The 13,134-nt window shown below is 38.0% G+C and overlaps 1 protein-coding gene across 2 annotated transcripts in view, besides 1 other annotated feature; it reads right to left on the reverse strand.

The window, feature by feature from the left end:
* The window catches only part of ASAH2 (N-acylsphingosine amidohydrolase 2), a 66,656-nt gene that overhangs the window by 28,582 nt on the left and 24,940 nt on the right, over window positions 1-13,134 (reverse strand). For both annotated transcript variants that reach the window (NM_001143974.3, NM_019893.4), the window contains exons 8-9: window positions 5,068-5,188; window positions 1,301-1,426 (exon numbers count right to left, since the gene is read on the reverse strand). In NM_001143974.3, the coding sequence (NP_001137446.1) occupies window positions 1,301-1,426; window positions 5,068-5,188 (247 nt within the window). The remainder of the gene's footprint in view (window positions 1-1,300; window positions 1,427-5,067; window positions 5,189-13,134) is intronic.
* Window positions 10,994-11,173: a silencer, noted in NCBI's record as "silent region_2366". NCBI's record gives its function as "represses an Ori minimal core promoter by ATAC-STARR-seq in GM12878 lymphoblastoid cells {active_cell/tissue: GM12878}" and the evidence as "EXISTENCE:reporter gene assay evidence [ECO:0000049][PMID:35858748]".

The following is a 13,134-nucleotide window of genomic DNA, read 5'->3' on the forward strand; positions in this document are numbered from 1 at the left end:
GATTAAAATTATATTGGAACAACTAGCTGGACTTCTGGGGAAAAAAATCAATAAACAAATCTGGCTCTATTTCCTACTTCTTATGTCAGAAAAAATTGAGATTGATCAAGCACTTAAATATTATAAGTGGAATCAAAAAATTACTAAAAGAAAATATGGATAAACATATTTTGTAGTATGAGGGTGTGGGCAGACCCTCCTGAAAGTTATCTAGAACAAGCTTAGTTAAACTGGACAGGTAAAACATCTTAAATTTCCATAGGGGGCAAAAGACATAAATAAGACAGAAAGACAACTGATAAACTTTAGGAAAACTTTGTACTATTTTGACAAAACTAAGACTTTAATATATTAGGAGCTTTAAAAAGTCGATAAGAAAAAAATCTTTATTAATACTGGTTTAACCCCATTGGGTGGAGTTGACTGGGATGGAATAAACATCCCAGAAATAGTATACAAAAAAAGCATTATCACAGGTGAAATGTTCTACAAACACAAAGAATAAGAACCCAAAAAGTAGCATCTACTGCTCATGTCAAAGTTGAAAACAAAGCTAAATGAACATTGTGGGAGTTAAATAAATGATGGTATAGCCTAACTTGCTGTCTTTAAAACATATCACACAGATCTGGATATACTCATTGAAAAGTTTCTAAGACAAATTAAGTGGAAAACTCAAGTCCTGGATACAAAACTCAAAATCCATAAATAAGTCATATAATGTTGTTTATGAATGCATAGGTAAATACATAGGAGGAGGTATGAGAATAGTAACTTCTGGGAAGAGCAAAGTATAGAGGAAAGGGAGGCGAAGAGGGACTTTCACTTTTTACTATTCTCTGTACTTCCACATTATTTGAATTTTTACAGCAATTTTTTTGCTTGTAATTTTTAAGAAAGGAGAAGCAATTTAGGTCTTATATTAAAAACCCTATAAACTTTATAATCCATGAGAAATGTCTCAGGCAGGCAATTTTTACTACAAACTTGTGACTTTCGAAATGCCAAAGCAAAATGTTTCAGATTGAACAAGTTTGGGGAAGGGTAGAGTTAATCTCTGACAGTTACTGAATTGTCTCACCATTCAAAAACCTTAACAGTCACTCAAATGGAAAAATATAACTTCACTCAGTTAAAATTTACTGGGTTTGGACAGGTGCTTTTGAGAAGAGCAGATGCTAGGGAGAACTAGGCCAGTGTATACTAGAAGACAAGGTATTTGTAAATTAATGATAAATATTCAAACATAAAATGTATTTGAGATGCAAAAACAAAGATTTCATGTGTCATAATTACCTACCCCACCAATGGGACAAGTGCTATTGGCGTTATCACAGGACTCTCCTGTGTTGATGCAACGTGGTCCAAGAATGTTGGGGGACACATCTCCTAGGTTTGATGAAGCAAAGGCTGCTACAAATGGCCCCTGCCAAAAGAAATGCCAAGTTGCCTTTTATTCTTTCCTATTTCCTGTAATGAATGCCATTAGAAATACAAACATTAAATCCACTCTGGCAAACTATTCAAAATCATTTGCAGGCAATAAAAAGAGGATATAAAATATTCTGTAGGTTGCCTGTTCACTCTGATGATAGTTCCTTTTGCTGTGCAGAAGCTCTTTAGTTTAATTAGATCCCATTTGCCAATGTTGGCTTTTGTTGCTATTGCTTTTGGTGTTTTAGTCATGAAGTCTTTACCAATCCCTATGTCCTAAATGGTATTTGCCTAGATTTTCTTCTAGGGTTTTTATGGTTTTGGGTCTTACGTTTAAGTCTTTAATCCATCTTGAGTTAATTTTTGTATAAGGTGTAAGGAAGGGGTCCAGTTTCGGTTTTCTGCATATGGCTAGCCAGTTTCCCCAATACCATTTATTAAATAGGGGATCCTTTGTTGCTATTGCTTTTGGTGTTTTAGTCATGGAGTCTCTACCCATCCCTATGTCCTAAATGGTATTTGCCTAGGTTTTCTTCTAGGGTGTTTATGGTTTTAGGTCTTACATTTAAGTCTTTAATCCATCTTGAGTTAATTTTTGTATAAGGTGTAAGGAAGGGGTCCAGTTTCAGTTTTCTGCATATGGCTAGCCAGTTTTCCCAACACCATTTATTAAACAGGGGATCCTTTCCCTATTGCTTGTTTTTCTCAGGTTTGTCGAAGATCAGATGGTTGTAGATCTGTGGTGTTATTTCTGAGGCCTCTGTTCTGTTCCAATGGTCTATATGTCTGTTTTGGTACCAGTACCATGCTGTTTTGGTTACTGTACCCTTGTAGTATAGTTTGAAGTTAGTTCAACCATTGGGGAAAACAGTGCGATGATTCCTCAAGGATCTAGAACCAGAAATACCATCTAACCCAGCAATCCCATTACTGGGTATATACCCAAAGGATTATAAATCATTCTACTATAAAGACACATGTACACGTATGTTTATTGCAGCACTATTCACAATAGCAAAGACCTGGAACCAACTCAAATGCCCATCAATGATAGACTGGATAAAGAAAATGTGGCACATATACACCATGGAATACTATGCAGCCATAAAAAAGGATGAGTTCATATCCTTTGCAGGGACATGGACGAAGCTGGAAACCATCATTCTCAGCAAACTAACACAAGAACAGAAAACCAAACACCACATGTTCTCATAAGTGGGAGTTGAACAATGAGAACACATGGACACAGGGAGGGGAACATCACACACTGGGGCCTGTCAGGGGGTGGGGGGCTGGGGAGGGATAGCATTAGGAGAAATACCTAAGGTAGATGATGGGTTGATAGGTGCAGCAAACCACCATAGCACGTGTATACCTGTGTTACAAACCTGCATGTTCTGCACATGTATCCAAAAACTTAAAGTATAATAATAAAAAAAAAAATCCAGAAAAAAATATTCTGAGAAAACTTTTTATTCCTGTAAAGGCTCACATTACAGTCGGTATACATATTATTACTGAAAATATTCCAATTATCACTGATTCAAGTGGGAGAGTTTCAAATTATGCCTCAAACAGAAATATTTTAACCAGAAACACTGTGTGCAACAACAAATTATAAAATGCTGACCAGTCAATCTAGTCTATTGTGTTTTATCTGGAGCTCAGAGATCCCTTTGCCCTTTAAAAATAAATATGCTCTTGGCTTAAACAGAAAAAAGCAAATACAGACTTTCCTGTTGCACAATGAAACTAAATATACCATCCACAATCTGGACTTGCCCTTGATGTATATTTTCTCTCTCTCTTCAACATAATTAGAGCCATGCAAGTCCTCTGCCTCAACCCAACCACTCTACCATTCTACCTTAAATGGCTCTAATTTTCTTAGGGAAAGAGATAACTAAGTATTGGAGATATAAATCTTTTTTGATACTAAAGAGATAATTTATTTCATAGTGCCTAGCACTCAGGCAGTGATCATAAATAGAAAACTCTCTTCTTTTCCCTAAAATGCAGGCTAAAGTGAGAAAATAGTAAGAGTGAGTTTTGCCAACAAAGGAGCTTGCTTTGGTTTGGATGTGGTTTATTCCTGCCAAAACTCATGTTGAAATTTGATCTCCATTGTGGCATTGCTGAGAGCTGTAGCCTAGCAGGAAGAGACTGATCCCTCCTGAATAGAATAATGCCCTCCCACAGGATGAGTGGCTTCTCACTCTCTAGGGAATGGATTGTAGTAGTTCTTGCAAGAGCAGGATTGTTAAAAAAGAGCCTGGCTTCTTCAGTTTTTCTCTCTTGCTTCCTCTTTCACATGTGATCTCTTTGCACATCCTAGTTCCTCTTGTTTTCTTTCTTTTTTTTTTTTTTTTGAGACGGAGTCTCGCACTGTCCCCCAGGCTGGAGTGCAATGGCACGATCTTGGCTCACTACAACCTCTGCCTCCTGGGGTCAAGCAATTCTCCTGCCTCAGCCTCCCAAGTAGCTGGGACTATAGGCACACACCACCATGCCCGATTAATGTTTTGTATTTTTAGCAGTGACGGGGTTTCACCATGTTGGCCAGGCTGGTCTCGAACTCCTGACCTCATGATTCACCCACCTCGGCCTCCCAAAGTGCTGGGATTACAGGTGTGAGCCACTGCATTCGGCCTCCTCGTCTGTTTTCTGTCATGAATATTTATGTGCAATATTCTGAGAAAATTTTTATTTTATTGGTAATAGCATGAGGCCCTCACCAGATGGAGTTGTTCAGTCTTGAACTTTTCAACCAACAGAATCATGAGCCAAAATAAACCTCTTTTCTTTATAAATTACCCAGTCTCAGTTATTCTGCTAACACAAAACAAACTAAGACAGAGCTAAATGATCAGGCTGAATGTTAATGGAAGCTAATATCTTTATAAGGGAATATTAATTGTAGGTAAGGGCCTGGGACTCTTATCCCATTATATAGTCTTCCAAATTTGGGCCTGGAGCAGTGGCTCATGCCTGTAATCATAACATTTTGGGAGGCCGAGGTGGGCAGATGACTTGAGGTTAGGAGTTCAAGACCAGCCTGACCAACATGGCGAAACCCTGTCTCTACTAAAAATACAAAAATTAGCTGGGCGTGGGGGTGTGCACCTGTAATTTCAGCTACTCAGGAGACTGAGGCACAAGAGTTGCTGAACCTGGGAGGCAGAGGTTTCAATGAGCTGAGATCGTGCCACTGCTCTCCAGCTTGGGTGATAGAGTGAAACTCTGTCTCAAAAAATAAAATAAAAATAAAAATGGTGCTTAATCCTTGTATAGCTCTAAAAACAAAAGTAAATATCAACAGTTTGTCATATTTTCAGCTTAATCAAAACCTACTGTTATAAAAATCTTGAACTTTGCCCTTCCTTATTCAACTAATAACTTTATGAAGCAATGAATATAAGGACTATGTAACACAAAAAGCAAATGGTTAGTACTCATTTTTTATTTTTCTTTCCACATTAGGGAGGATGGTAAATGCTGTCTATTCAAGCATACCAATATGTGAGATTGATGATGACACTTTATTCTGGAGATTTGAATCACCTCTTCTGAATGCAGCATGAATGATGACACTCAGTGAATCAAGATGAAGCTTTCAATGATATAAATTCTCACCTGTCCAGGTAGATATCCTTTGTTCTTCTCTTGCTCAAGCAGGTAAGATGCATAGCCCACATTGTCACTGTTTACAAGATGGTTACTGTTGTTCATGCTGACCGGGTGGATGGCAAACCAGCTGTAAAAGAGCAAGAAGCTCTAAATTAATCAGGAGAACGAGAGAACTGGGGCCAAGAACTATGACTGGGAGCTTAAGTTTTCTCCAGCAGGAAAAAATATTTTTAAATAATAGACATTCTACATCTACATTCTTTCATTGTTCATGGGCTTAAAAATACAATGCAAAAAATGTACTCAAGAAGTCTGATCATTTTCTTAAATTAAAAATACAAAACTCCATTTTCATGACTATTTCATCATTGGCATCATCATTGGACTGGTCAGTTACCAGATGACATACCTAAAGAACTGTATATACATGGACTTTGTCCTTCAAGATAGGCACACAGGTAGTAATTATTCAAATTTATCCAATCCGACATTTACTAAGGGTTACCTGTATGCTAAGCACTGAATAAACTGTGGTTTACTTTCAGAATCTCACCAAAGACACAGATGTGAACAAATGGCTTTAACACAGTGTGACAAACGTTGCGAAGAAACAGGCATAAAGTGTTCAGGGACCACAGATGACTAACAATTAATTCTTGTGGGCATTACAGGGAGAGGAAACAGCAGGGTAAATGCACAGAGGTGTAAAAGAGGATGTTAGGCATAATTCAGTATATCCTTATGCCTAGTAATACCTTGTTTAAGTGTAAAGTTATACAGTTTACAAACTAATTTCACATCTGTTACCTTATTTGAACTTCACACAACTCTGAGAGACAGGCTGTTTTACCTCTACTCTGCATAGGTGACCCAGAGAAGCAAAATAATGGTCCACTGTTCACAGAGGCCCAGGACTCAAGTCTGGGTCTTGTGACACCGTGTCCAGTGGCCTTTGTAGGCTCAAACCCTCACACAGGTGAAAAGGATATTTACAGAGTGGAAGGCAGTAAAGCAGATTAACTGGAACGCTCAAGAAAAGAGAAATGCTAATTCATAAACTGTCAGGTTAACTTAGAATTTAAAAAAAAAATTGTTGATTCAATTCTTTGTTGAAAAATCTTTAAACGTTTTTGCTTACATTCCTACCTAAGCAATGTAATGCACAAAACTAAGCATCTATTTAATGGCTAGAAAGGGATTAGGACTTCAAGATCATCTTTCAAGCATCAGTTCTTATTGCCTATCAGAAGCAGATGTAGGGCAGAGGTGGCCTGCTCAAAGCCCATTGGCTCTACGCAGGCAACACAAATGAGTCATGCTAGTTGGTACAATAGGGACTGGTGTGGACTGTAGAAAACTTGCAGTGTCTAAAGTTCACAGCCTCTACTCAGCTCCAGCCAAGTGTTGCCTTATGGGAGTATAAACCAGTGCTGCCAGCTCTTCTCCTTTATTCAAAAGGGGCCACAAATCCATGTTTTCATATGTATTTATCAACTTTAAAATTCTTCAGGAAGTAAATGGCATGGAAACAAAGGACGGGAACTGCTATACATTAAGAGACTTAAAACTTGTAGCCAACAAATGTAGTTTGTGATCTGATTCAAACAAAACAACTATTTGAAACAAACAAACAAAAAAAGACTTTTTGATATAATCAGGGAAGACCGAACACAGATTGGGTGTCAGATCATATTAAGAAATTAATTTTAATTTTGTTGGTTGTAATAAATGATTGGGGTTACATATTTTTTAAAGTCTTTATCTGATGAAGATAAATACTGAAATATTTATGAGTGAATTGTATCTAAAGACACATGGACACGTATGTTCGTTGCAGCACTATTCACAATAGCAAGACATGAAATCAACCTAAATGCCCGTCAGTGATAGACTAGATAAAGGAAATGTGGTACATATACACCGTGGAATACTATGCAGCCATAAAAAGAACATTATGAATATGTCCTTTGCCGGAACATAGATGGAGCTGGAGGCTCCATTTGTTACTCTTAGCAAACAAACACAGGAACAGAAAACCAAATACCACATGTTCTCACTTATAAGTGGGAACTGAATAATGAGAACACATGGACCAACAGATGCTGGGGCTTATTGGAGAGTGAAGGGTGGAAGGAGGGAGAAGATTAGGAAAAATAACTAATGGGTACTAGGCTTAATACCTGGGCGATGAAATAATCTGTACAATGAAGCCCCATGACACACATTTACCTATGTAACCAACCCGCAAATGTACTCCTGAACTTAAAATAAAAGTTAAGTTTTTAAAAAAGAAGTATATAATGTCCTGGTATTTGCTTTCAAATACTCTAGCCAAAAAAAAAAAAAAAAAAAAAAAAAGTGAGGGGAAGGATAAAACAGAATGACAGAGTCTTGCTAATTATTGAATCTGGGCAATAAGTTATATGGAGATTCATTACATTAATCACTGTAGGCATTCGAAAATTTCTATGTAGTTTCTTTTTTCATGTTGGCATCCATTTTGAATTTTTCAAAACACAATGTCAAGCCAAATCACCAATGAGTGAGCTGAATTCAGTCCCTGACATGGCTATTTGCCCCTGTGCTAAGGAATAAACATTTATTGGGCTGAAGATATTCTAAGAGTCATCCCCTCGCAGTTATTTGCAAGGTGTTTACATTTAGGAATATTCTTCTATTAGGTTTGTGTGTGTGGTTTTGTCTCTTTCTCTTAGAACTCAAGTATCAGGAAATTCTAATCAACTAGTGTTTTCCAGTTACATGGATTTTGCTTTTTTGGAGTTTCTTTAGTTTGGAAGAAAATGTGGTGGTAGCATTTTGGCTTCCCAACCAAAACATTTCCATCTGATACCATCACACTGAGGTCAGCCAGCTTCAGCCAACACTGAATATTTCCATTACAATCAAAGAAAAACCATAGAACTATTCTGCTGACATTATTTAGCTCTTATTAGACAAAGGACTTTATGTACAAGATCTCATTTTATTCTCACAGGGAACCCTTTGAGTCAAGTACTATCATTATCTTCATTCTGCAACTAAGAAAACTAAGTCCCAGAGTGGTAACGTTACCTGACCTAGGTCACACAATGGTAAGTCAAGAAGCAGAGCAATGAATTCAGGTTGTATGTGTGTGTGTGTGTGTGTGTGTGTGTGTATAGATAGATAGATGATAGATAGATAGATAGATGGATGGATAGATAGATAGATAGATAGATAGATAGATAGATACAGATAGAGATAGAGATATATGCTCTTATCCACTGTGGAATCCTGGTTCTGTCCCTTCTCTTCATTCACTTGCTCATTCACTACACATTTGGTTAACTTTGACTCTGTGCCAGCCACCAGGAACATAAAGATAAATGAGGTATCATCTTGGCCTTGAGACATGCTTCACAAAAGAAGTGACACTTGAGCTAGGTCTTAAAAGATGAGGAAGAGCTACGCAAAGGAATCACTAGATAACGAGTACTCCTAGCAGAGGAAATAACATCTGCAAAGGCATGGAGATATGAAGGAGGGCCCTGTGTTCAGAGAATGGATAGTCAGGGCGGCCAGAGCAGAATGGATATGGACAAGGAAAGATGGCAGCTGTATCATTCATTCAATCAGAGTGAATTTATTGGGAATCATGTTGATTGGCATTGTGTGAAGGATCGTAAAGAGGAATCAGATGCATTTCCTACCATCAAGGACCTTGCACAATTGGCCACAATGGTAACTATGGAGAAAGCATGTACTAAGAATTTCACTCTACTAGTTAGATATAGACTTGATTTCTTCTTCTTTTGAAAAAGTGTCTCACTCTGTTGCCCAGGCTGGAGTGCAGTGGTGCAATCATGGCTCACTTCAGCCTTGACCTCCTAGACTCAAGTGGTCCTCCTACTTCAGCCGCCCAAGTAGCTGGCACTACAGATGTGCACCACCATGCCAAGTTAATTCTTTTTATTTTTTGTAGAGATGGGGTCTCACTATGTTGCCCAGGCTGATCTCCAACTCCAGAGCTCAAGCGATCCTCCTGCCTCACCTTCCTAAAGTACTGCTTTTACAGGCATGAGCCACCACACCTGGCTTGATTTCTTCTTTATTCCATTTATTTTAAGCCTCAGAAAATAAACTGAACTTTTTCTCTAGAAAATTAAAATAAAATAAGTGTTCAGAAAAAAGTTATTTAAATTGAAGGAAAGGAAGATGTCATATTTTTCCTCCATTGTCCTTTGAAATGTGCACTATTAAAATAGCAAACTTGTCACAGCAACCAAAGTACTATAGTTATGGATGAATATTTATAAAGATATGCAGAAAGGTGATCATTTTAATTTTAAAACGCAGTACTTATATTTTATTTTATCTGGCCAAAAAATATTTTTCCAAGCAAAGTTCAAAAGAAAGGAAGAAAGCTTTAGTTTCAGAAGTTAAGAATTCAGACATAAAAGGATGAATACATCTCTAATAATAAGCATTTTTAAATAATGCTTATGTCACAGCTAAATGTAAAATAGGAAGCAAGGTGCTACGTGAATCAGCATGATGTAATTAAAAATACAGCAGAAAGTCAAGAGATTGGGGACCTTATCCTAGTTTGTAGCAAAATTAGTCAAAATTTCTGGACTAAAATTTAAAAATTATTGAGACTGAAAAATAATAGATTTCAACTATTATAGAATCAGTAAACAACATATTAATATAAAACACTACAATTTTTTTTTCCTTCTGTGTAAAGGAGGCATTTGGAGAAAAAGATCTCTAGTGATTCAGACATTGCATGTGCCCTACTCTGAAACAAAGGTAAAAGCAGATTCCATGCACTCAGACCTGGGCCTCCATGTCCAGTGTGCAAGCTGTGCCCTGTACAAAGAACACTGGCAAAGGGGGTAAGTAGGTGGTTAAATCCAGCCTCTGTGCAGCTCACTGAGCCTGGCACTTCAGCCAGCCCAGAAAAGAGGATGCGTTTGTGTAACTTAGACAAAGGTTCTACGTGCTAGCATGGCCCTCCCCGACCTAAACGCCCACAAATAGGGAAATAGAATACTGTGTATCCATTCAAAGGTACGTTCATGAAGATTCATAGCAACATGGGAGCTCTTTAGGAAATAAAATATAGGAGGCTGTAATGGGTTGAATAGTGTCACTCAAAAATGCATGCTCATCTGGAACCTCAGAATGTGACTTACTTGCAAATATGGGTTTTATAGATGTAATCAAGGTAAAGATTAAGTGATATTATACTGACCGCATGTAGGCTCTAAATCCAATGACTAGCATCGTTACAAGAGGAAAGGAACAGAGAGAAACCCAGAGACATAGAGAACAAGGTGATATGAAGATGGGGGCACAGATTGGAGGGATGTGTCTACAAGCCAATGAAGCCAAGGATTGATGGCAACCACTAGAAGCTAAAAGAGATGCATGGAACAGATTCCCCCCTTAGAGCCTCCAGAAGGAACCAACCCTGCTAATGCCTTGAATTTGGACTTCTGGCCTCCTGACCTGTGAGAGAATAAATTTCTGTTGTTTTAAGCCACCTAGTCTTTGATAATGTGTGGCTTCCCTAGGAAACTAATACAGAGGCTAATATTGTGTTACAGTAGCTGAAAATACCAGCTCTGGGGTCAGACATGAGTTACTTAATTTATTTGAACCTCAGTGTTCATACCTGTAACATAATGATAATAGTAGTACCTGCATTTGACAATTAAAATAACTAATACATGTGAGGTGCTTAGCACAAAGACTGGCTGATACCAAGAATGGAATAAATGTTCACTACAAGAATATTGGTGATGCTATACTGATACTACTGCTGCTGCAGCTGCAGATGATGATAATGATGATAAAGGAAAGAGATACAAAGCTCTGAGCATAAATAAATATATATATATACAAATATATATATGATTTGTAAGATTAATACAATGTTAAATATATGGGGGCGGTGTTCAACATTCGCAACACATGTATATTCAACCCACATGGTATGGGCATGAAATGATTCAGTGAGGATAGCCTGCCCTCTTGTGACAGAGACGTGAGTGCTCACAAAATGCCCATGTGCTCTTCTATTTCCCAGTCTCATTTGCAAGGTGGGGCGTGTGAATACCTCTGACTAATAACATGTGTGCAGAAGGACTACCCAATCTTCACTAGACTTTCCATGAGTGGAAAATAAGTCTTCAATGTGTTAAGCCACTGGAATTTCACATTCTATCTTGTGTGGCACTTGCCATTAATTACCTTCACACCCTCGTTTTCACTCCCTCAAAATCATCCTCACCCCAACCCACTGCAAACTGTTTGGAGAAGAAGAGGAAAGGGTGTTTCATTGTCTTATACTGGAAGGATTATTGGGCCCAGACTTTTACCTAAAAGGCAAGCTAAATTTTAAACCAGCAGAAGAAAAGAATACACACCGGACTGCTCAGATTTTAAAAAGATAATGAGCTCTAGCCAGAAGAGCCCTCCTAAAGTTACAGGCACACCTGGGACAAGCATCCTGCAGAATATTTCTACCAACTCCACCCCAGAGAAGTGATGTACGTTCTCAAGGAATCCTTTTGTTATCTTCAAAAATCCTGAATGAAAAAGACCTTCTAAATAACAATATTGGAGAAATATCTCATTAGGGTAAATTCCATTAAGTTACAGCAGTCAAAATCCTTGCACCATGCCTTTAGTCCCAGCACTTTGGGAGGCCAAGGCAGGAGTTTGAAACCAGCCTGGCCAACATGGCAAAACCCCATCTCTACTAAAAATATAAAAATTAGCCGGGAATGACAGCGCACAGCTGTAATCCCAGCTACTGGGGAGGCTGAGGCAGGAGAATCACTTGAACCCCCAGGAGGCAGAGGTTGCAGTGAGCTGAGATCACGCCACTGTACTCCAGGCTGGGCGACAGGGCGAGACTCTGTCAAACAATAAAAATTAAAAAATTAAAAAATCCTTGCACATTACATGGTAAGTGCAACAAGAAACAGGAAATGGCCAATAGACTATTGTTTTTTTATTTGAGCCAAACCGTGAATTGAAGAAATTCAAAGGAAAACAACAGTGATTTGACTTTTTTAAGCCTGTTACTTGGCAACAATTGTAAAGCATGGTCATACTAAGATTGGCAAGAGTATGACAAACAACATTCTGCTCAAGTTTGAGTAATGGGAGAGTAAACCAACAAAGGGGTGTTGGGCAATTTATAGGAAAAGCTTTAAAATATAAACATTCTCTTTGGCTCAGGAATCCCATTCTAGGAATTTAGCTTAAGGAAATCATTGGCAAATATGTATCTGTTCAAGAATGCTTATCATAGGCCGGATGTGGTGGCTCACAATTGTAATCTCAATACTTTGGGAGGCCGAGGCGGGCAGATCACCTGAGGTCAGGAGTTTGAGACTAGCCTGGCCAACATGGTGAAACCCCGTCTCTACTAAAAAACTACAAAAATTAGCCGGGTGTGGTAGTGCGCACCTGTAATCCCAGCTACTCAGGAGGCTGAGGCAAGAGAATCGCTTGAACCCAGGAGGTGGAGGTTGCAGTGAGCCAAGATTGCACCACTGCACTCCAGCCTGGGCAACAGAGCAAGACTCCATCTAAAAAAAAAAAAATGTTTATCACGATGTATTTTATGATGGAAAACACTGTAAACAATCTAAATAACAAATGATTGCTGATTAGTTGAGTACATTATGATACATAGAATGGAATACTACATGGCAATTTTTAAATGGTGATTTAAAAAATACTAACTGGCATTGAAAGATATTCATAAGGTATTGCTAAATTAAAAATAGAGTTAACAAACTGTAAATATAATAAAATCCCACTTTTTAAGAAAAATATTATAAATGTGCTTAGAAAAAGTCTGAAAGACTATGTAACAAACTTTTAATAGAAGCTGGCTCTGAGTGTCAGGATCTCCACACGATTTTTTGACTTTTTAATTTTTTTCTTACTGTGGAAATTTTAGAAAATATATAAAAGAAAAGAAGATTTTAAAAATTACTTGATACAACACCAAGAATGAACCCTAAGGTAAACTATGGGTGATGATGATGTGTCAATGTAGGTTCATCAGTT

This window comes from Homo sapiens, chromosome 10, assembly GCF_000001405.40.
Source record: "Homo sapiens chromosome 10, GRCh38.p14 Primary Assembly".
NCBI classification, from domain to species: Eukaryota; Metazoa; Chordata; class Mammalia; order Primates; family Hominidae; genus Homo; species Homo sapiens.